The sequence below is a fragment of the Homo sapiens genome, chromosome 5 (genome assembly GCF_000001405.40).
Source record: "Homo sapiens chromosome 5, GRCh38.p14 Primary Assembly".
NCBI lineage: Eukaryota > Metazoa > Chordata > Mammalia > Primates > Hominidae > Homo > Homo sapiens.
In genome coordinates, this window is record NC_000005.10 from 170,003,805 (window position 1) to 170,028,360 (window position 24,556).

General features: G+C 44.8%; 1 protein-coding gene across 2 annotated transcripts in view; it reads left to right on the forward strand.

The window, feature by feature from the left end:
• The window catches only part of DOCK2 (dedicator of cytokinesis 2), a 446,108-nt gene that overhangs the window by 366,530 nt on the left and 55,022 nt on the right, over positions 1–24,556 (forward strand). For both annotated transcript variants that reach the window (NR_156756.1, NM_004946.3), the window contains 4 exons: positions 4,693–4,793; positions 4,884–4,942; positions 15,156–15,304; positions 24,059–24,144. Coding sequence is in view for 1 of the 2 variants with exons in the window: in NM_004946.3 (NP_004937.1) it covers positions 4,693–4,793; positions 4,884–4,942; positions 15,156–15,304; positions 24,059–24,144 (395 nt within the window). In the remaining variant the exon portion in view is untranslated. The remainder of the gene's footprint in view (positions 1–4,692; positions 4,794–4,883; positions 4,943–15,155; positions 15,305–24,058; positions 24,145–24,556) is intronic.

Consider the following 24,556-nt stretch of genomic DNA (forward strand, 5'->3'; position numbering starts at 1 on the left):
ATAAGTATTCAGCAATATCTAGTTGTGACCACTGCTCACCTCTAAGAGCGCTACACAGAGCCACATACTGTGACAACCTCCTCTGAGTTCCAGAAGTCATTCCCACAGAGCCCCATGGCCAAAACTGGGCAGGGGCTATGGGTGAGGTACTTGGATGTGCCATTTCTGATCCACTAAGAAGATGAGGCACAGCTACAGCCTCATGGCTCATAAAGGTCTTCCAGAATGGAAGCCAAAACCAAAACAAAACCAGGTCCACTCCATGAGAATTGAAACGTATGTCCACACAGAGATTTGTACAAAAATGTTCATAGCAGCATAGCGTCAATGCTATGACTCATAATAGTCAAAGACTGGAAACAACCCAAATGACCATCAGTGGATGAATAGATAATCGAAATGAGTATATCCATATGATAGAATATTATTCAATGATAAAAAAATGAAGTACTTCCACAATGGTTGAACTAGTTTACAGTCCCACCAACAGTGTAAGAGTGTTCCTATTTCTCCACATCCTCTCCAGCACCTGTTGTTTCCTGACTTTTTAATGATTGCCGTTCTAACTGGTGTGAGATGATATCTCATAGTGGTTTTGATTTGCATTTCTCTGATGGCCAGTGATGATGAGCATTTTTTCATGTATTTTTTGGCTGCATAAATGTCTTCTTTTGAGAAGTGTCTGTTCATGGAAGTCAGTGTGGCGATTCCTCAGGGATCTAGAACTAGAAATACCATTTGACCCAGCCATCCCATTACTGGGTATATACCCAAATGACTATAAATCATGCTGCTATAAAGACACATGCACACGTATGTTTATTGTGGCATTATTCACAATAGCAAAGACTTGGAACCAACCCAAATGTCCAACAATGATAGACTGGATTAAGAAAATGTGGCACATATACACCATGGAATACTATGCAGCCATAAAAAATGATGAGTTCATGTCCTTTGTAGGGACATGGATGAAATTGGAAACCATCATTCTCAGTAAACTATCGCAAGAACAAAAAACCAAACACCGCATATTCTCACTCATAGGTGGGAACTGAAAAATGAGATCACATGGACACAGGAAAGGGAATATCACACTCTGGGGACTGTGGTGGGGTGGGGGGAGGGGGGAGGGATAGCATTGGGAGATATACCTAATGCTAGATGACGAGTTAGTGGGTGCAGCGCACCAGCATGGCATATGTATACATATGTAACTAACCTGCACAATGTGCACATGTACCCTAAAACTTAAAGTATAATAAAAAAAAAAAAAAATGAAGTACTGATCCATACTACAACATGGGTGAACCTTGAAAGCATTACACTAAGTATAAGAAATCATACATGAAAGGTCACATATTTTATGATGTCACCTATATGAACTGTCAAAATAGGCAAATCCACAGAGACAGACAGTACATTAGTATTCACAGTTTCCAGGCAGTTTGTAGCAGGGCAGACAGAAAAATCTGGGACCTTTTGAAGAATTTCTGTGACAATATAGCAATTGATAAACAAATATTTTCTGGAGCCCAGCTGTATTCAAGTCATTGTGCTGAGCATGGCATTAGGGATACAATGAAATGCAAGACAGGATTTGGGTACTTGTGGAGCTTACAGTTGGAGAAGACAGGGCATACAAATACTCTACACCCAGTGCTACCATCAACACCACCACTGCATTTACTGAGTGCTCGGTGTGTGCCAAGCCTGTGGTGGATGCCTCATGCTTGTATAGGTTCCAGGGACAGGGTAGGGGAAGGTGTTGGTGGGGAGAAGAGGGACTGACTCTTACGGGTAGAGGGTTTCTTTTGGCGTGATGAAAATGTTCCAAAATTAGACAATGGTAATGGTTGAACCCCTTGTGAATATACTAGAAACTAAATCATACACTTAAAAAGTGAATTTTATGGTATATAAATTATATCTCAGATTTTTTTTTAAAAAAAAGAAAATCAGGAATGGGATGACAGAGAAAATGCTTTTTTGATGGATTCATTCAGGGTAGAATAGATACTGGCAAGAGGCTCAACCATATTTGATGTGTCTTATGTGTTAGGGGGCATTTCTGAAATTATTCTCACAAGTAATTGTAAATTGACTTGCTTTGTTGGATACCTATTTCCCATGTACCTTAATTACTCTTTTGCTATCCCCTAAAATCAGAGATTTCTCACTTTCATGGAAACACTCATTTCCATGTCCTGTGGCCACAGTTTTCTCTTGCCCTGGCTTGTTGTTTCAAATTCCCATCTTAAATGTGAGAAGGTGTAAGCTCCGGACATAAGCAGACCAAAGCTGCACATTTTCAAAGCAAAGCCCTGGAGAAACTGCTAAGTCACTGGGATGCCGGGAGGAAAGGCAGTCTGAGGGGATGTGGACAGGAGACCCAACCTGCCACATGTGTTTACATAAGCAACGTTGCTACGGAAACAAGGAGATTTGATTCCAAATGTTACAAGAAACTTTGGAGGACTTTGAGGAAGGGAGTGGCATGATCTGATGTGTTTTTGTTTTTGTTTTGAGATGGAGTCTCATTCTGTCTCCCAGGCTGGAGTGCAGTGGCGTGATCTCAGCTCACTGCAGCCTCCGCCTCCTGGGTTCAAGTGATTCTCCTGCCTCAGTCTCCTGAGTAGCTGGGATTACAGGTGTGTGCCACCATGCCCGGCTAATTTTTGTATTTTTAGTAGAGATGGGGTTTTACCATGTAGGTCAGGCTGGTCTCGAATGATCTGATGTGTTTTAAAAGGTTCTTCTGGTCTCTGCATGGAGAGCTGACTTTAAGGGGGCCATGAGCCAAGAGGCCACTTCACTGAATCCCTAGAGCAGTTTGTTTTTTTGGGCCCTGGGTGATAAAGGTCCAAGTAAAGAAAAAAGCATTCACTCAACAAAATGTAAACTGCGTGAGGCCAGGGATCGCTGTCTGTGTAACCACTGCTCTGTCACCACACTGTGGCAATGCCAGGGCACCTAGCAGATGTTCCAGAAATATTTGTTAAATGCATCCCCAGCTGAATACTGACCGTGGTGTGTTAAAAGAACCCCGAATGTCAATCAGAAGGTCTGCGTGCAGATCTTAGCTCTGCTGTGTATACATCAAGATGAGAGACTTACGCAAAATACTCAACCTCTCCAAGCTTCAGTCTCCTCATCTATAATAGAGGAATAAGAGCTGTCAAGTGTTGAGAGATGAAAGGAAGATGTATGAGAAAGTTCCTGGCCTATAGTAAAATTAGATTGCTTGTTTTGCTTCTTTCAAAGACTGGAACCGCAAACCGATTTGAAAGTCATACTCTGGGCAGCAATGATGATGTTATGTTATCAGTGGAAGAGTTGCCTCTTTCATAGTCTTGGCCATCTGCAAACACGAATGAACGTCTTTGAGTTAAGGAGGAAGGTTTCAATGGCAGTATGATTTCTCTGGCTAATGTTGCCTATCCTCTTGCTACATACACTGTTGAGAGGGGCCTAAAGTGGGTGGGCTTTGTTCAGCAAAACTGTCTCCCACATGCTCCTTGCAGGACCTTGGCATCTTGCAATAATTGCCCTTGAGCACCAAAACCCTAGGCTGTATCACTGGCTTTCGTACCAAAGAAACCACTGGAATAAGGAAAAGCACAACAGCAATAAGGCTAGCAAGGATTTTTGAGCTCTTACTGTGATTCATGTCTTTAAACACATCATTTTGTGTCATCTTTATCACAGCTTTCTGCAGTGGGTACCAGAGTCACCTCAGTTTTGCAGACAGGTTTACCGAGGCTCCGTGATGAATCCATGGATTGTAGATCCATGGTTTGGACCTATAATATCTCTGGTTCTGTATCCTGTATCAATATTGCCATCAGTGTGGCTAATCTTTTGAGCAGTCACCATGTGCTGACCCCTTTACCTGCTCTATTTCACTGCAGGCTGGTGGAGTGGGTTAGCACCAACAGATCAGGTACATGCAAAAATCCTTACAAGCCTGCATCTCAGCTGGGCCAGCAGGGGCTGTAACTGAAACATGCATCAGAATCACCTGACTGCTTATTAACCTGCAGATTTCTAGGTCCCACCCCCAGAGGTTCTGATTCAGTAGGTCTAGGCAGCGGCCAGAGAATTTGTATCTCTAGCAAGTTCCCAGGTGCTGCTGCTGATCTGGCAACCACACTTTGAAACTATTCAACTAAGGGGAAAGTAAAGGCAAAATATTTTAAGACAGAATGGATTGCAGTTTGGTCCTCCAAGCTGTCAGGTGAATTAGGGAGGACTTCCAGAGAGGCAGTGAATCCCTGAACTATCTTACCCTTCGTCACCCTCTAATTCCAGGGCAAGAACCAGCTCTCCACAGCACGCAGCTAGGGCAAATTATTTGTCTTTCAAAAAACAGAACAAAGCACAAGGACAAAAACAACAACAACAACAACAACAACAACAACAAAAAAAAAAAAACCTAAAATTCTCCTCCTCTCCCAAATCCTGTTGTCTGAGAGTGGACGTGGTAGCGCCTAGAGAAATCCATCCATTGTCCTCACTTTGGCCAGGATGTTAATTTCAGAGTCAGTGCCAGTTAGAAAATTGCAGTGGGCACAATTAAACTGGTTCGGCCTCTGTCTTCTGCCATCTTCATAAATTATTCACACTACCCAGCGCTTATGCCTTCCCGCTTCAGACCCTCTCCATAACTGTTCTCTGCTCTTTCATTTACAGCTGTGGAACAACTATTTTCATCTGGCAGTGGCTTTTATCACCCAGGATTCTCTGCAGCTGGAGCAGTTCTCACACGCCAAATACAACAAAATCCTGAATAAGTAGGTTGCATTTTTGGATTTCCTGAAGAGGGGGAGGTCCATGAGATCCTCTGAGATGGTGCCTGAAGCAGAGGTTTTTGTTCCTCCTAGGTATGGGGACATGAGACGGCTAATTGGCTTCTCCATCCGTGATATGTGGTACAAGCTTGGTGAGTAGGCACACACATCCAGATACTCACATCTGCAGGCACCAAACTCCTTCTTAAAGACCATCTGTTGGAGGGCCACAGGGGTTTTAGCAGTGGGAGCATGAAATAACAGTTCATTACTGTGTGTACCCCAGTTCCTAATAAGTGCCTGATTATACTCTGAATAAGAGGGGTTCCCCATACCCACTTCTACCCCCAGCCCTGCAAGCAGCTGTGAATATGCTTCTGCTTGATGCCCCCAATGGGTTACAGATCCAAATGGAAATTTATAAGAGGGACCAGGACTGTCATGGGAACTCACGTGCTCACACATGACACGGATGCTTGCTGCTGATTGGAGGGTCCTTCTGCATCCTGTATAGCGTGGTCCACAAAACGTACTCCAACCTCATAAGGAGAATTGGCTCTCTGAAAGATGAGAGGGTCTTTTTAGCTGAAAAGTGACCCCAGAAGCTGTCTCTGCCTCAGGGAGCTTCAGGAATTCTGTGTGATTACCTGAATGATACCTGTGGAGGGAGAGATGGAACGAAGGAGACATTATTGAGAGTCTGAGTCAGGCCCATGCTAAGAAGATTATATTTAATCTTCACATCACTTCCTGTAAGACGGAATTGTTCCCCCATCCTTTTACTGATCAGGAAACTCAGAAAAGGAAGTAACTTGCTTGAAATCAAACAGCTGGAAGCCTCCAAGTGTGGTTTTGATTCCACAAGGACAGGGGCTATAAACCTTGCTCATGTCCTGAATCCTCCTTTATAAATATGTGCTGAAAGGATGGATGGGTGGATGGATGAACGAACAGTAATGAATTTTTTATTTTTCTGTCCCTCCTTGACTCTCTGATTCTAAATTGCTCTGCCCTGGGTGTGGATATTGACTTTCCTGCAAGTACTAACTTGTGCCCATCTCTTGGATTTAATTTTTGTTCCCTCTTCAGACTACGCTTCTTGCTTCCCCAGACCTCTTATTATCTGCCAGTTCCCATGGGTTTTTTAGGCAGCAGTTGCATGCCCCTTCCAGCGAGTTCTATCCACTGTGGGGGAAGCATAGAGCAGTGGATAGATGATCAGTCTGCGTTCTGTGGTTGCTGATAGCATCAGACTCGAGCTAAGAGAAGTACATGCTGGATAACAGGGAGGTTGCAGGTTGGTTCACAAAGCCCAAGGCAGAGCCAAGGACCCAAGCCCAGAACAGACTGCCACTTCTTTGCTTTGGGCCTTGCTCTGACATTTACAGGCTGTGAGGCCTAGCATCACCAGGCCTAAGTTGGGGAAATAAGCACCCTCACAGGGGGCTTATGAGGGTCATCAGAGCACAAGCTGGGGCACGTGGAGCCATGGAGGCCACCACACCCACATCAGAGTTTTTATCATTATTGTCATCCTTGCCCCATCAGGATGGAACCTAATGTTTCTGTTCTCCCTGGCCTCTACCCTCTAAGATGCCAGTAGCACCCTCCCTAGTTATGACAACCAAAAAGGTCTCCAGACATTGCCAAATATCCCCTGGGAGAAGGGGGTGCCACCTCTACCCTGTTTTTCTAGAAAGGCATGTCTTTCTCAGTCTATCTTTTGTTTCTCCACTCTGGGTAAGGACTGGGATATAGGAAATAATTGACGTTTCATTTACCATTGCTTTGCAATGGTAGGGGAATGGGGGAACATGGTGCAAGCACAGGCCCACACGACAGCCGGCACCTGGCCTCAGGGTCAGGAAGATGAGAAGGAGTAAGGGCCTGCGGCAGAGTGAAACTGACATGCCCAAGCAGAGAAAAAAGACAGTCACTGTTCCTCTCCAGTTAATAGCTGTCCTACTGAAATGCAATCCCAACGTTGTCATACCTTTCAGTTTTTCAAAAGAAGCCGGGAGACTGGGTTTTTCAATGTATTTTCCAATTTATGAATACTAATGAAAACTAATTGAAAGTTTTCAAAACATCAGATGTGCTCAACACATGATGGACCCAGATTCAGTTCACTTCCAAGTTTGCATTCGTTGCTGTACAACAGCAGAGGCTGGAGAAAGCTGTGGCGGGCTTCCTTCCCCAGCTCGACACCCCAGGCACTGCCAGAATTGCAAAACAGGGATCTGTGCTTTGTTTGTTTCAAGTCCTTCCACATGGCCTGCTCTTTTCTGAATGTCCTTCATTGCCATTGTTTTGCACACAGAAGATTTTATTTAGATATAGATTATGTTTTGGCAGGCATTCCTGCACTCCCAATTATGCTGATGAATGAAAAGATGTTACCAAATATTCCACCTGCTTAGAATCACAGAACATCGGAGCTGGAAGGGCCCTTCAAAGATCATATTGTCCAGCATTTTTCAAATATTTATTTTTAGCTGAGGACCAATAAAAAAATTCTCCTGCTTAATAAGTAAATTGGATGAAAGCAGAACTATTGTAATTGAAGTGAGGTGGGAGACCCAGAGCCCATTATAACAAGCTGCTCTTGAACTTCTCTTGTAGAGGGTTTTCTAGGGGGAAGCCCTGAGCACTGCAGAGAACAGTTGGAAGCAACTGATCTGGTCCAATTCACTATTTTACTAATGAGGAAACTGAAGTCCATAGAGAAGGGGTTTGTACAAGATCATGTAGTGGGTTAGAGGCAGAAACTGGTCAAGCACCTTAGCCAGAGTGTTTGCTCTGAAGCATCACAGACTCCCTGCTGTTAGCAAAAACCTGTAGGATGAATTAATGCAATTAAAAGATACATCTGTCAGGGGTTGAGGGTTGGTTGCAAAAAAAAGGCATTGACTGCAGCTGCCTTAATCAGAGAAGGTATTTATTAGAAGGGCAAGAAAGAGCCGAAGAACCAGGCTTCTCTTGTTCCTGGCTACCTGAACCCAGGATTCAGTGTTTTAGGATTGCAATGTGCTCAATTAACAATGCCTTGTAGCAGTTAACAGCCACGTGTCCCAAGTCTGTCCCATGAGAATCAGCAGAAACATACCTGTTAGGTCTACAGGAAAGTATTTTTTTCCAATTAAAAACAAAACAAGACAAAAAAGAGGCAAGGAGAGGACAGATTGAATGAACAAAATGCATTTTTGCCCACAGCCCTCCCCTCTCTTTCTTTCTGGAAAAGGACAATATGGCTGGAGGGGCAGTAGCCATCTTAAAGCCATGAGGACAAAACTTACATTCTGAGAATGAAGGAGCAGGTCTGGACTGGCCATCTTTTGGTTTCTTGTTAAACAAGAAAATTAAAGCTTCAGTTTAGTCATGGTAGTCAGATTTCTGTTGCATCCTTAACTGATACATCATCTAATTCAACCCTGCCGATTTTATAGGTAAAGTTGCCAGACGAGGCCAAGAGAAGCAGAAGGACATTCCTAAGGTCAAAAACAAGCCAGTGACTGAATTGAGGCTAAAAGAGCCTGTCCTGTCTCTTGATCCCAAGTGCAATGTTCTTACAAATAATTTTTTTCAAAGTGTATGCATATTGTTTCAAAGGGTGTGAAATGACCAACGATCTACGCTTTTTCAAAGTGTATGCATATTGTTTCAAAGGATGTGAAATGACCAACGATCTACGTTTTTTCAAAGTGTATGCATATTGTTTCAAAGGGTGTGAAATAACCAACGACCTACGTTTTTTCAAAGATGACTGATAATGAGTAAATCATAATGCATGTTAGTTTTCTAAATTTTGTTTTAAGGCCAGAAGCAATCAGGGCATCATCATCACCATCATCAGTATCATCATCTTCTTCTCATCAAGAACAACTTGAGCAACCCTGTGTTTATAAGATAGCTAATTGCAAAGCTATAATCTCAGGCTTGAAGATTATTTAACATTCTTCAGGGGCAAATCTAGACAAATTGTGTGTGTGTGGAGAGGAGGTATGGGCAGGGAGGTCTTCATGGGGAGAAAGACAACATGTGGTTAAGGAGCCAGCCACTCAGGGGTTAATGGCATTTGTTGTTTTGGATCCCGGGCGGACGCCAAATGGAATTTACTTTTCCCAGTAGTATAGCATCGTAACACTTGATTTCTGCTCGGCATGAAGAAATGCACATTTTGCTCAAAAGACTTTGCACTTAATCCTCCCACATTCACTTGGGTTAACACTGAGCTGCTGTATTAACATTCGTTGTGGGAAAGAAGGACACATTCTAGCGCCTGGCATCTCGGCCTCCCATGTAGGGAGGTTGGCCTGGCCAAGCCTCGAGGGCAATTTGTCCATTACTGTTTAAGCGTCTACAGAGTGCTCAGCTTGGTGCGGAGGTCCAGGGAGTGGAGCTATCTAGTAGGGAAAAGTGACAAAGTGAAATGTGTAGTGGGGACTCAGGAGTTCAGGCCAAAAGGGATATAAGTGAGGACTATAAGGATGATTCCATGTGGGGAAATGGCTTCTGAATTGGAAGGAGGACCATGTCAGGACTGAAGGAAAGACAGGGAAAGGGCAGGTATTCTAGGGGAGCAACCAGCCCAGCAAGCATGGCTTCCTAGGGTTGGGGAGAGGCTGCTGGGAATAAATAGGAAATGGGATTAGTGTGGCCATCCGTCCATTCATTTACTCATTCGTTTACTAACCAACATCGAGCACTGTGGTAGGCTCCCCAAAGATGTCCATGTCCTAATCCCCAGAACCTGTGGAATATGTTACCTGACACAGCAAAGGAGACTTTAAGGTGTGATAAAGTTAAAGATCTTGAAGATGGGGAGTGTCTTGGGCTATCCAAGTGGGCTCAGTACAATTACAGCATCCTTATAGGTGAAAAACGGAAGCTGGAGAAAATCAGAGTCAGAGAGCAATTTAAAGAAGCTGTGTTGCTGGCTTTGAAGATGGAGGAAGGGGCCATGAACCAAGGAATGCAGGGAGCCTCTAGAGGCTGGAAAAAGAAGCTGGGGAAGGCAAGGAAATAGATTAATCCTTAGATCCTCCAGAAGGAACTCAGTCTTGCCCAGACCTTGATTTAGCTCCATGCAACCCCTTTTAGGCTTCTGATCTCCAGAAGTATTACACTTATTACAAAATAAATGTGTACTGTTTTAATTTACTAAGTTTGTGGTGATTTATAACAACAGCTGTAGGAAACTAACACACACATCCTCTACATGCCAGGTACTATGCCAGTAGCTGGGGTTAAAACCCGAATCAGGTTAGAGATATAGCCCCTGACTTCATGGACTGGTGATCATTGCACTGAATAGTTACCTACTAACTGCAGCATTATTTAATGACAGTTGCGAAGGGGAAATAGCTGTAGAATGGAAACTTGGGGCACCCAGAGAATTGGTGACAGACTCCTACTTAGTGAGTAAGCCAAGGATGGCCTCCATGAGGAAGAGCCAGAATCCCTGAATTGGAAGGAGGACTATGTCAGGGCTGAAGGAAAGACAGGGAAAGGGCAGATATTACAAGGGAGCAACCAGCCCAAGCAAGCATGGCTTCCTGGGGTTGGGGAGAGGCTGCTGGGAATAAATAGGAAATGGGATTAGAGTGGCCATCCGTCTATTTGTTTACTCATTCATGTAATAACCAACATCGAGCACTGTGGTAGGCTCCCCAAAGATGTCCATGTCCTAATCCCCAGAACCTGTGGAATATGTTACCTGTTCTTTAGAAATAGGATACAAGCCTTCTAATTATAAATGCTTTAGTGTCTTTATTTTTCAAAAATTAAAAGAATAAAGTTAATTTTAACAATACATTTAACACCATATTCTAAAGTGTTATACTAAACATGTAATCAATATAAAATATTGCTGAGATTTTGTTTTCCTTTTTTGGGTATCTGGTGGATTTTTTACACTTGCAGCACATTTCTAATGGACTAGCCACATTTCAAGGGCTCAAAAGACTCATGCAGCTTGTAGCTTCCATACAGAATAGCACAGCCCTAGAAAATGAGAAAGGGTTTACTTGCAGAGACATGTGTTGGGGGGGGTAGACTATGGAGGGGGGGTCCAGGAGAGGGAAGGAAGAAGAGCTCGTTGGTGGAGGAAGGCCCAAGGTGGGAAAAGCAGTGTGCCCTGGAGGAGTGGGCAGTAGGCAGGTGGAGGGAGGGTGGCTAGGTGAGAGGCACACAATGGGTATGGGGAGGGAGCACAGGACCAGACATGCTCCCAGGTAGTTTATCCTGAGAGCAAGGAAAGTCATAGGGAAAATACTCTGTGAATAAACATGATCCAACTGGGGCTTTTCAAACATCTTTGAGGACAAATGAGAAAATATTTCAATGAGACAGAGAAGAGTGGAGGGTTGTGAGTGTCAGCCATGGTAGGGAAGATAAATCCATCTGACCCTTTCCCCAGTTCAGCTGTTTGCTTTAAAAGTGAACAAATAAAATGACCAGCCTGAAAATTTCCATGAAATGCTTCAGGGAGCTCCATGGGGTTAGGCCTTGTCTTTTCATATTGCTTAATCTAAAACTCGGCATAGAGCTGAACCCAAAGTACTTACCATCAGCAGCAGCAGCAACAGCATCAACACTTCCTGAGCTTTTGCAATGTGCCGGACACTGTGCAGGGCCCTTCGTTTGCACTTAAGCTTCGACAATTCTATTAGGCAGATTTTATTATCTTCATCTTACAGATGAGATTATGGAGGCTCAGGGAAGGTAAATGACAAGCACAATACCACACAACCAGGGAGTGGCAGTGGCAGGACCTGACCCAGGCTGTCAGACTCGAAGACTCTACGGGGCCTGGAAGGAAGCTGAGGCTGGGCAAGTCCTGAACAATGAGGAGAGAATTGATTGCCTGTTTCAGAGCATTGCCAGGAGGGAGCTTTTCCAAGCCTAAGACAGAGGAGCAAAGATCGGTGGATCTGTGTTCTGTCTTCCCCTTTTGAACTGATTTTAGGTTTTTTTTGTTTGTTTGTTTGTTTGTTTTTAATCAGCTCAGCTTTATTTCAAAGTCCCCCGGAGGCTTGCTGGACTCTGAAATCCAGGGAGTCGTAACTTGCCCTCATCCTTGTTCATTGCAGCGTCTGTGCCAGCCTTTGGAGAGACCTTTCTGTTACATGTCAGCCTCAGAAGCCCATGGCTTGCCCAACTTAATTCTCAGCCAAGTTCACAAAAGCCTCCCTCCCTCCCTCCTTTCTCCCTTCCCTCCCTCCCTCCTTTTCTTCTTTCCCTCCCTCCCTCCTTTTCTTCTTTCCCTCCCTCCCTCCTTTCTTCCTTCCCTCCTTCCTTCCTTTCTTCCTTCTTTCCTTCCTTTCACCTTTCCTTCCTTCCCTCCTTCCTTCTTGTTTCTTTCAAGGTCATCTCCTCAGTGCCCTCAGATCCTTTGCATTTTACCCTACAGTCCACTCCTGGGAGGAGTGATGGAGGAGGCCACTGTACAGATGAGAAACCAAGACCAGAGAATTCATGGGACCCCTTTCCACCCACACCCCCCTGAGCTCTTCTCTGTGCTTACATTATCAGCAGATCCTCTCCCAAAGCCTGTGTAATCTGGCATTTGGATTTTTCCTGCTGGCTTATTGGCACTTTAATAGCCTTTTCTAATTGGTATCTGTTCCCAGTGAAGTTCAGCTTCAATTACATGAAAAAGACCCTCTTAGTAAATGCCCTTCCTTGGCTTTTCTCGAATACAGCAGCAGGTGTGTCTCTTGCATGAGCACTTTTTTTCCCAAGTGAGTTTGTATTCAATTAGCCACAAATGTGTTCTGCGTGCATGTGTATGCATCTATGTATGTAAAGATATGCAAACACATATGCATTTGGATACTTGAACACAAAATCCAATGTGCTGAAATTCCACTTTTATGTAAATGAATAACATTTCTGAAGGGAGCATTGTAAGGGCCATTGAGGTCACACTGTATTTGGAGATCACCATCTCTCTCTCCGCTTTCCCTATTCTGCCAAATATCTCCTCAACTGACTGTAAAGAATGCAGATCAAAAGTATTTAAGAAATCACGGGTCTACAGCATGTCTGCCCTTTATTTTAAACCATCTAAAATTTATCCTTATCATGCCCAATGCCCTCCAGTATTCTAAAGGCCTTTGTTGCATAAGCAATTTCTCCATTCCGTGGTGGCTTATCTGACAGTTTCCCATTTACCTTCTACCTGTTTTTGCACTTGACTTTGAATTTTAAAACTCCACTGTGGTTTGAAAAAGACTTAAAGGATCTTGAAGGATGAAATCAGAAACCTAGATTAGCAATTACTATAAACCTGCCAGAAAGGAAGCTGTTGTTGTTATTGTTTTCTATTTGGGCCAAAGCAAAGACTCTGAGGCTTAAGTGTAATCCAAATGCATCATATAATGAAGCTTATATCCTGGAAAAGTGTCTTTATTTTTCACTCCACTCTGCCTGACTCCACCATTTCATTCTCACTAACTGAGGATATTCCTAGGATGATGCCTTTTTTATTTTATTTTAATCTGAATCCTGGGCAACTACTCCAACATTAAGCCTCATTTAGGTTGAAAGAAAATTCATTTTCTTACTGCTTTCCCTCTCAGCTCCTTGTCTGAGCTTTAATCGCAAGCAGCTGTGCCAGGCCACACGCCATACCACCTGAGTTTCTGCACCCTGAGGTGCTCTCTGCCCCAGGCGAAGACCACAAATGTTCATCCTGACAATGGATGAAACCAGGATGGGTGCCAAAACTCACAAGGAGAAGGAGGTAGCAGCTGATGAAATATAGAGGTGTGAGCTTCAATAATAGGGTTGCTTGAATATGCTGACCCTCACTTCCCAGGAAATCCCTGCAATTCCTAAGTGCTCCTCTTTATTCCCTATCTGCTACTTCTGATGCATATTTTCTGAAGATTCTGCTCAGTTCTGCTCAATACGGCTCCCCTTTATGGTTCATTTTGACCAAACATCACAAAGATAATATTAATAGCTAATGCTGTAGAAAGTGGGCTATGTGCCAAGCATTGTCCTGGGCAGTTGCTAAATAATCACTCATTTTTTCTTTGATTCTTTACAATAACCTTATAAGATAAATACTGTTATTGTTCCAAGTTACAGATGAGGACACCGAGGCCCCGAGAAGGGAGACAAACTTGATCAACATTACACAGCTGTAATTGATAGTGGAGTCAATTTACACACTCAGGCCGTCTGGCTCCAGAGTTGGTGCCCTTAACCACTGGGCAACACTGCCCTTGGCACTGATTCTTCTGCGCTCTGTGCTAAGTACATGCGGACATATTTTTGCAAGATCTTCTCAACAGCTGGGTATCACTTTTGCATTTTTATGAGACATATATACAAGTCCCATAGCCAGGGAATGTAGGAGCTGGAAAATTTATTTTCTCATTCAGCAGGTGTTTACTGATCATCTGATAAGTCCTGTGCTCAGTGCTATAGACACAATGAGGAGAACAGACATGGTCTCTAGTGGGGGAGGCAGATGTTAATCAAACGATTCGACATATAAAGATATCATTTCAAAATTGGCAAAACATATAAAGGCAGTGCAAGGAATCTTTTCTAGCTAAGGGTGGGAGGTGTAGAGAGGGGGCTTTTCTCCCAGAGGAAGGAGTGTTTAAGCTAAGATAGCACCCATCTGGGGGAGGCTGCGTGGTAATGGGTATTGGGTTAGGGAGCAGACAGGGAAAAGTATTCTCAGCAAAGGGGCATAATGTGCACAAGCCTTGCTGTGGGGGAAGCAAGGTGAAATTGTGACATTTGAGCAACCCCAGCTAGGCTAGAATGCCAGGAGCCAGGGGAGGGGATGGAGGGAATGCCTTGAAATGAGGCAGAAGAGACGAGAAGTTGTGGTTCATCTGATCCTCAAGCTATGTTTTAAATCTCCCCGTTCCACTGACCACACTATTATAGCGAGTTCTTAGTAGCAAATTTTGCTTTTCTCATTTCATAAAACAGTTGGTAAAATCCCATTTAAAAACTCTCAGCAACACGGCATGTATTTCAGACAGACATAATTTCAAATGTGCTGTGCTTTGCCATCTCTAACATATTCAATCATGGCCCTATTTGCAGAGCAGACACTGCAGGTGAAAACCCTTGTAAACAGTGAAGTGCTTTCTACACGCACGCCCGTGTTATTAGCCTTAATAATCGGGCTTGTTTTGGATAATGCATGCGCTCTAACGGGAGTTAATATATGTTAAGTGTTCAAAACGGTGCCTGGCTCATGGTAAACAACTATATAAGTGTTAACTATTGTTTTTACTATTATGCTTCCCTTTTTTTCTTTCCCCAGGCTTGGTCGGAGGAGGACCTGTGCGTCGCCGAACTGTTTTATGTGTTCATGTTCCTCTTCTCTTTCAGGTCAGAACAAAATCTGCTTCATCCCAGGCATGGTAGGACCTATATTAGAGATGACACTTATCCCTGAGGCTGAGCTCCGGAAAGCCACCATACCAATCTTCTTCGACATGATGCTGTGTGAATATCAAAGAAGTGGGGATTTCAAAAAGGTAAAAAATGAGGCCGGAAACTCATGCCAGCATGCCTAATCCCCAGCCCATTTCCCCATAATGATATCCTCATTCCATCTCCCTGAGCTTCATTGAGAGGCTCGGCGGCAGGATAGGGACATTTATTCATGGGTCCGGAATGAGCTGGCAGATCAGATTTGGTCGGTATTCTATCAAGCTTTTCCGTCCAAGGACAAGATTAAAATGCAGTTTCTGGCTGTGTATTTGCTTAGCCTCTTTCTCAAGAATCTAAGAACCCCACATCTCTACCTAATGATTCCCTAAAAATGTGTTCCCAGGGCCCACCCGTCCCACCTGTCCCACTCTCTCACCCACTCTTGTCTAGTACTTCATCTTCTGGGCTGACTCTGCGGATCTACATTATCTAGAAAACGCCGGCCCTGCTGGGTGTCACACTTGTCCACACACCAAATCTGATAGCAGATGGAGTTAGGGACGTGTTGCTCAGGAGGGACCTGTGGATCTGTGAGGGAATAGGACACTGGCCTCAGCATGGAGGGCGCCAGAACCTCTGTGAAACACGAGAGCCATTGGCCAAATATTGTCATTGAATATTTCGTCAAACTTGGACAATGAGGTCCATTTCCCGGGCCTGGTCACACTGGGAGCTCTGGCAGTGGAAGAAGCACCAGTTGCCACAATTGGCTCCCGGTACTGCTCAGTGACATTACCCTGTTTAGGAAGGTTGGTCTTTAAGTCCCATCAAGGCTGCCTGAGCCGTTCCCTCAGGCCTCACCCCCTGTCCTCTCTGCCCCACATCCTCAGTTTTACCTCTAACTGAGCTTCTCACCCTCCTCTCTCCCCCAGTGCATCTACCTCTTATTCCTACCATATCCTGCCTTAAAATGGGTACTTAAAAGGCAGCAGATTCCAAACTGCCTTTCCTTAAGATCCTTAGGGATGTTTCCCTTCCTTTACCCATTAATACCCTAATCCCCACAGAATAAAGCCCACACCCTCTAGCCAGCATCCCCGGCCCTCCCGGCTCCAGCCTTCTGAAGAATGTCTCAGCCATCCTCTCCAACTCTCCCCGCCTTACCTCTTCTCCACCATCCCCGCAGCCCACCTGAATGGCATTGCCTCTGTGGGTGTCCTTCGGGCATTTTTTTTCTTTCTGCTACTTCTCTGCACAGTCACAACCCTGCCTCTCAACACCTTCTAAACTCTTACTGATCCTGCGAAGCCCATCCAAATGCCATGTCACCTAGAAGGTCTTTTCTCCCCATTCCTGTTATTTGATGTCTAAGGTATGACTATTATCTACTGCCTTGCTTTATACTCATTTCTGTGCATTTTTCATCTTCCTCATCTGCATCTAATGATGATGATGATGATGATTATAATGACTGACTTTAGATATTTACTACATATCAGGCATATGACACCTATTTTCTATGTATTAGTTCATGCAGTCTTTTTAAACTACAACTCTGTGAAGTAGGTAACATTATCTTATCTTACCCACTTTAAAGATGAAAAGAAACTGAGACTTAGAAAGCTGACGTCATCTGCTGAAAGTCACAATCAAGAAAGTAGCAGAACAAAGGCTGCAGCAAGCAGGTCACTGCGATTCCTAAACCCATGCTGCAACCCGTACTATCCAGCCACCAGTATCTCCCAGTAATACTGGCTGATTGGTATCTGCTAGAGCAGTGCTTTCCCTAAATATGTCCATGAAGCACTGATCCAACAAGATGCTCCAGGGAAGAGGGTTTCAAGGTTAAATACCTTTGGAAATCACTGCATATTGGAACCCATCTTAGAGATTCCCAGTGCATATTAATAGAGTCAAGGCACTGAGACATTCCATGGCAAACAGATCTGTCATTTCTTAAATTTATTTGTGCAAGAAACATCTATTGGATTTTCCATCCTATTAATCTCACATGGGAGAAAGTTGTTCTGAGAGGAATAAGAGACTAGTTTGCTATGATGATATCACTGTGAGAGGTAGCATTATAGGGACTCTAGTGCCAGAAGGGCTAGTGGCCAGCTGCCTTTTTGTGAAGAGCCTGTAAAGAAATCTGGCTGAGTAGGTCAAATGGAGAAAGAGGCCGTATCTGAGCAGTTGGGATAGGGGGAGTGGAAGGTGAAAGCTTGGATTGAGTGTTTGAAGGCAGCTTGGAATTTGCTGCCTTTTAAGTGGGAGCAAGGTCTGTGCAGCTTGGGACCACGTAAAGGGCACACGCCATGAGACGAAGGGCAGTTTACTTACCCTCAGACCCACTTCTGAGGCCAGCGGGTGCCTTAGAAGAGTTCCTGGGAACAGGTGTGCAAAAGAAACACACCAAGTGCCTGATGGTGTACAATGTCCCAAAAAGAAATAAGACCTGGTCGTTGCCTGGATTGTGACCTGACAGATGTTTGGCAGCCTCAGAGAGTTTCACTCTAGTGTGATTTTCCTTCCCTAAAGGATTCTCGTATCTTGGTTTCTCTGTGGCATGCACCCACCTGTTTTCTCCGTATAGAGTCATTCCTTGGGCTCCTCACTCCAGTGTGCATTCATTCTGAGCATGTTCCCTAATCACTTCTCCTCGCAGCTCCCTTATCAAAAAAGACAGGACAATCAGGCTGACTAATGAGGCAGATGCCCATGTGAAAACCAGCTGGCGTGCTTCATAGGAGCTCAGCTCGGGGATACGCCGGCCCAGGCATGGTTTTTGGTTCAGGGTAAGCAGTCATGGAAGGTGTCTCCAGGAAAGGGAGGTGAATCCCTGCTGAATCCCAAGCAGCCTTGATGGCCAGAACGAGAGTGAACCCCAATACTGGGGTCTAGAATCCAGGAGGGCTGGTGTGCAAAGTGGCATTAGTACATGATGCCAAAATAATCCCATGAGAGAAGAACCAGGTCCCCAGAAGACCACATTGTTCCCTCTCTAAAATGTGGGTTGCTTAAGGGAAATAGCAGAGCCAAGAGGAAACTGAGCAGGGGCTTTGCTCCCAGGTCATACCAAACCCTCTGGCCTGATGCCAGTTTCTTGAAGTTCTCTAGCTCTTATGCCTTTGTATGGGCTCTTCCTTTTATATCTTTGCCTGAAGAGATCCTAGACACCCTTCAGCTGAGGCTTTACTTTTTGGGAAAGGCTTTCCTGCCTCCTGGGGCAGTGGTTCATCTGGGTACAAGAGACAAAGATTTTCTCAAGCCAAGTATACATAGGCTGGAACTAGGACAGGAAGGTGTTAGACTCTCAGTGGCTCACGGTTCTGGGGGCTGAACAAGAGGCAACCCCAGGGCAATCTCTTTCTCTGCTCTGGGTTTCTTTTATAAGCTCTGTGCCAGATTTCCCTGTCTCACCTCTCACCCAAATTTCATAGACAGCTGATGGGTTTGACTGATGACATTTATCCCTCATGAGTGTAGCACTTCATCCCAGACCATCTCGGGGGTCTCTGTCCATTGTCTAGGACTGGATGTCCCACCCCTGGTACACCACATGATTCCCTTGGTGGGGTTGTGGAAGGACAGTTTCAGCAAGAGGGCCTTAGGTGGACCCCATTGTGGCCGGCTTGGCCAGGACACATGCTAGTCAGAATGAAACGTATCCTATCCTGCCTGGATTGAGCGGTCATCACACTTGTCCCACACAGCACAATTACCTGCTCATAGGTCTGTGTTCCACAGCAGACTGTGAGCTCTTGAGGGCCAAAGCTGGTCTCTCAGTCCTGAACTCCCAGTCCCTGTCAAGTGCCTGAGATGCACGTGGTGGGCACAATGTCAGTGTTCCCAGAATGAATGGATGGAGGCATTTAGACCCCCATCCCATGTCATTCAGGGGAACCACATCGGCACAGGGAGGTGCATTCCAGCAAATGTTTTTATAAACTAGAATAATGGGGGTTGCTAATGACTGCTTGAGTAATCCCCTTGCCCCGAGTACACCAGCTGTCTTGCTGGCCAATTCTTTGTGGAAAGAGGGGATGTAGGTGTTCTGGATGCTATTGGTGGGAATGAGTGGGAGTCCTGGGGTATAGAGACCTTGGAGACTGGTTGGCTAGATGCAGATTGTAGAACAGGACTGTGTACCAGTCAGCATGGGGATCTGAGCCCTCAGCAGGCAGGAGATCCCAGAGAGAATTCTTCTCTCAGAGAAAGAAGAGGGGATAGCATCTGACAGCAGCACCTAGAACAGTGCCTGAACACCGTAGGAGCTCAATCTTTGCTCATTGAATTAATTAATAGACGGAGATAGCCATGTTAGCAGATTCCACTGAGACTGCATCTTGGCGTGGAGTAAGCTGGTGATTTAAATTGTTTAGAACATAATGTGGAAAAGATTACATCAATTCAATAAATCTGTACTGAGTGCTTGCTGCGTTCTCGGTACTGTTGTTTGGATTCAGATAGACCTACTTCTTATAAGCTGAATCAATGTGGGTAAGTTATTTAACCTCTCTCAGCCTCAGCTTCTTCATCTGTAAAGTGGGTATCCAACTGCCATTAGAGGTTCCCATCCCAAGCTCTTTTGGGGGATGAATTGGAACGATTAGAGACAACTCAAAATTAGAAAGCCGCGCTGACTTCCAGACACCCCTTCTCACGTGACATTCTCTTTTCCAGGTTCCTCCCAACTCTACTTCTTTCCACCCAGGATAACTGGCATTTCATAACAGAGGAGGTCAAAGGCAGACTTACTGGTGTTGATGTCATCCTTGTCATCTTCCTGACATCCAGGCCTCTAATAACATCTCTGCTCTTCCCATGTCAATGTCAGCACCAGACGTGTGAGGAAGAGCAATCACTCCCCAAATCTCATACTTCTACAGGGCTGGACTCCAATCAGAAAACATTCTAGGAGAACAAGATGATAAAAATAGCCAAGATATTCTAAAGCAGCCAGGAGAGGCAAGAGAAGCAATGCAGGGAAGGCATGAAGCAAACACGAGGCCCATATCAGGCCAGTCTCCTGGAAGAGGGAGGCCCAGGCAGAAGGTTTGGGCTCCTGGAGTCCACTCCTCCTTTCTCGATTAGAGCTTCTCAAGATTTGTATTGGGCCTCTGTAGAATCTGACTTCTGTAGTGGCTCAATACAAATCTGTGGATACTCATTAGCAAACATCCACCTCGCAGCAGTGGGGTAAGGAGTCAATGATGTGATGCAGTCATGTAGCTGTGGATGAAAATGGAAGTAATTTGGAGAAGCCAGAGCTACATCCTCAACTCTGGATGGTGACAGTGTTGGGGGTAAGGACTGTTGCAGCATCATGATGGAGTGTATGTTTGGGAGAGCCTTTTTTTTTTTTTTTTTTTTTGAGACAGAGTCTTACACTCTGTCACCCAAGGTCCTACGTTGCCTCAGCCTCCTCATTTGTAACATGGGGATGATGACATTCTTCTCCCTTGGCTGTTGTAAAGATTAAATGAGAGTATGATGCCTATGATGATGACAATGACAATAGCATGATGAGCTTTGCTAACAATTATTGAGCACTTACTATGTGCCAAGTGCCTTATACGTGTGTTTGCCCTTTAATTTGTTACAGTACCACTATGAAGGAGATGCTATTTCAAATCTCCATTTAATAGATGAGCACATTAAGCCTTAGAAATGTTTATTAACTTGGCTAAGGTCACAGGGCTGGGAAAAAAGTCAAAGCAAGACTCAAACCAAGTCTATTCAATGCCACAGACTGTGAGCATAGCCATTTCTGAGCACAGTACTGACCCTGGGATATGCCTGACTGAGACCTTACCCCTCCAGCTCACCCCAAGGGCTCAGGCATGGTGGTATGGTATCATTTGTCTCACACACTCCCTGGAACCCTGTAATTTCCCTCCTGGCAGGCTCTTTTGTGATCCTGAGACAAGTGCTTATTTACCTCAACCACTTCTGTGCTCCAAAGAAAAGTTCAGCTCACCAGGAAGAATCATGCCAGCATTTCCCAGTGAACCACTCAGACAAGAAAAAATGCACTTTTCTCCCCCTGCGCTGCTTTCTAGTAACATTCGGCAGTAATAACAATAACATTAGTGGTGATGACAAGTCGAGGGACACAGCACACACTTAATGTTAGGCACTTTGCTAGTGCTTTACATATAAAATCTCTGTGCCCTATAGCTACTCCACACTGTAGGTACTACTGTTATGCCCATTGTATTGATAAGGGGTAGACAAACTCTGGCCCACAGACCAAATCCATCCTTCCACCTGCTTTTGTAAATAAACTTTTATTGGACTACAGCCATGCCAATTTGTGTATGTGTTGTCTAGGGCTGGTTTTGTGCTACAGCAGCAGAGTTCAGTAGTTGTCACAGAGACCATCTGGCCTCCAAAGCCTAAATTATTTACTGTCTGGCCCTTTACAGGAAATGTTTGCCAGTCCCTGATCTAAATCCTGACCCTGAGGATTAGAAAGACCTACCAGCTTTCCCAAGATGGCAGAGGGAAGCGGTGAGGGATTTAAAGCCAGACAGCCGCACAGCAGACTCATTGTATAGCCCCTTAGCTGTATTTCTTCCTGCTCTAGGCTTGGCAGAGAAGACATCTCTAAGCATGATAGTCCCCAACCCTTGACATTGGATAATATTCAACACAGACATAATGCTTGACAGGATGCACCATAGAAGGGACGTGATTCATTTGCAGACTGGCAGTCTAGACTCTTGCCACACTGGGTCTCATCTAGGTGTCTGTTCCCTCCCTCCCTCCCTCCCTCCTTCCCTCCCTTCCTTCCTTCCTTCCTTCCTTCCTTCCTTCCTTCCTTCCTTCCTTCCTTCCTTCTTTCCTTCCTTCCTTCCATTTGTCCGTCCATCCATTCTTCTCTGCTCAAGCTGAACTGCTGTCTTCATTTTTCTCCACGTTCCCACCTCGACAGCTTTGCTCACACCGTTTCCCCCATCTGGAATGCCTTCCTTTTCACATTTATCACAGTCCTACCCATTTTTCCAGGCCCGGTATATCTCCTTCAATAAGTCTTCCCCAACTGAGGCAACTCACCGGAAATTCTTTGGCATTTGTGCTGTATCAGCACAAGCTTTTGGTCCCTCCCTTAGATCCTTTGTGCACAAAAGTGAGGGAACGATGGCATCACGGATGATGTGTGAACCAGAGGGAAGAGCAAATGTGGTCCCTGCCTTTTCATCACCTAAAGATTCCAACTCCATGGAGCTCTATCCTTTATGCCCAGGAAAGAGCCTGCCAAAGGTCTCTGCCATTCATCTAAGACTTTAGACAGGTCACTTAAACTCCCTGAGCCTCTACTTCTTCATCCGTAATAATAACTGACACCGAGGGTTGTACCAAGCAAGGGCTGGCTGCTCTTCATGCATTGTCACATTTAAAGGTGATCCGTGACCTCCAGACTTCATGAAGTATTATGAAGACCGGGTGTAAAGAGGTCAAGTTAGAGGTCAGGACTCCCCAAGTCCTCTTTTGGTCTTGGTGACCTTTGCGAAGCTCCCCTTTCCCTCTCCAGGTGCCAGTTTATTTTTTAATGGTAAAATGAGGGAAGGGTGGACTGCATGATTTGGATGGACTCTTCAGGGTATAATACTAAAATAGTAAAAACCATTTTGCAACAAAATCATGTTAAAAAGACGTTGGGTGACTTCAAAACAATGCGTTGAATAAGCCATGCACTCCAGTGGGTGAAATGCTTCTTAACATGGAAAGTAGGGAGACAAAGCATTCTGTGGCTTCAATGCAACAAGATTTGGTGGAACTGTAAATGGATACTTGCTTTCTGATCACTTACCTAATCTGATCTCTGATCATTACCATTGTCACCAGTCTTGACTCTCTGAGACCTGACATTTGCTCCATGTTTTATGAGTATTTTTCATCATTTCTTTGGTTGCAGGGAACAAAACTCCAATTCAAACTGGCTGATATATACACAGATGAGCTCATATGAATGGGAAAGTGTCAGGTGTGGCTGAATGCAGGGGCTCACAAATGGCATCAGGTCTCTGTCTCTCTGTATCTTCCCCTCTCTGCTTGCCCTGTATTGGTGTAATTCTCAGACAGACTCGTTCATTGTGGTCAGCAGCAGCCTGAGGCTCACAACCTTCCATCTTCAGCTTGAGCAAAAAGACTCATTTTGCTAAGAGGTCCAATAAAGCCTCAGATTTAGGGTCTCACTGTCTCAGTCCAGACCTTTATTAATTCTGGGACCTGGGCAATGAAATATTCGGATTAGGAGCTAGGCTTGTGTCAGGTTTCCACATCTGGAACTAGGGAGGGATGCTCAGCCCACCAGAGCCCCAAGGACTGTGGTTAGGACTGGTGTGATCACCAAAATATGGAGAAAGGAATGAAGGAATGCCAAGTGGGCAGAAACAATAGCTGACCAGGAAACATGGCATTCCCTGAAGATTCTGTGTTCTGTCACATATCTCCATGCCTGTGCACATGTGGTGCTGTCTTCTTGGAATGTCCTTTCCCTTTTTCTGTTTCTGCGAAATTTCTATTTAACCTTTGAAAACAAGCTCAAATAACATGAGTTGTGAAAAGTCTTCCCTGACTCTCCTCCCTCTCTCCCTCTCCTGCACTCGCGCTCTCTCGCACGTGCTCTCTCTCTCTCTCTCTAGCAGTTATCACCCATGGCTCCCCTTCACTCTCTGGGCACTCCAAAAAGGCAGACATAGTATTCTGTTCCATTTTGCATTCCCAGATCCCAGCACTCAACCTGGGAGATAAAGAGTGCTCCCTAAAGCTTTGGTTGAAATAATGAATTGACTAATTTCAGCCCTCAGCCTTCTGATGTTATTGTTGATTTTTGTCTCCTACATCTTCAGTTTGAAAACGAAATCATCCTGAAGCTGGACCACGAGGTAGAAGGGGGCCGAGGCGACGAGCAGTACATGCAGCTCCTGGAGTCAATGTAAGTTCAGTGCCCTGTGTGTAGGAACAGCCTGTGAAGGTCAGGTGAGGCGGGAGGGCTCAGAACTCCAGGGGGCTCCGAGTGGCTCTGTCCTCCCCTGGAGATGGATCTAGAGGCTCATGGGTATTGGCAAAACTCCATTTTTGGAAGAAACCTCACATTTCTCTCTGGAGTGGCCATTTCTTTGGAACTGATAGAATGGGCCAGGTGAAAAGAATCTTTGCTGTGTTGGGAAGAGGGAAATAATTTACCAAAATGTCTACTTTCATTACTTCTTAACTGTGGAATGTGATTGCTATTTTTCCTTCTATTTAAATTTTTGACAGATGTTGGTCATGCCCTACGTTTACTGAGCACACTTAATAACTTAGCATGCTATTGTGCAATGTGCTGTGTAATCCCTCCTTTAATC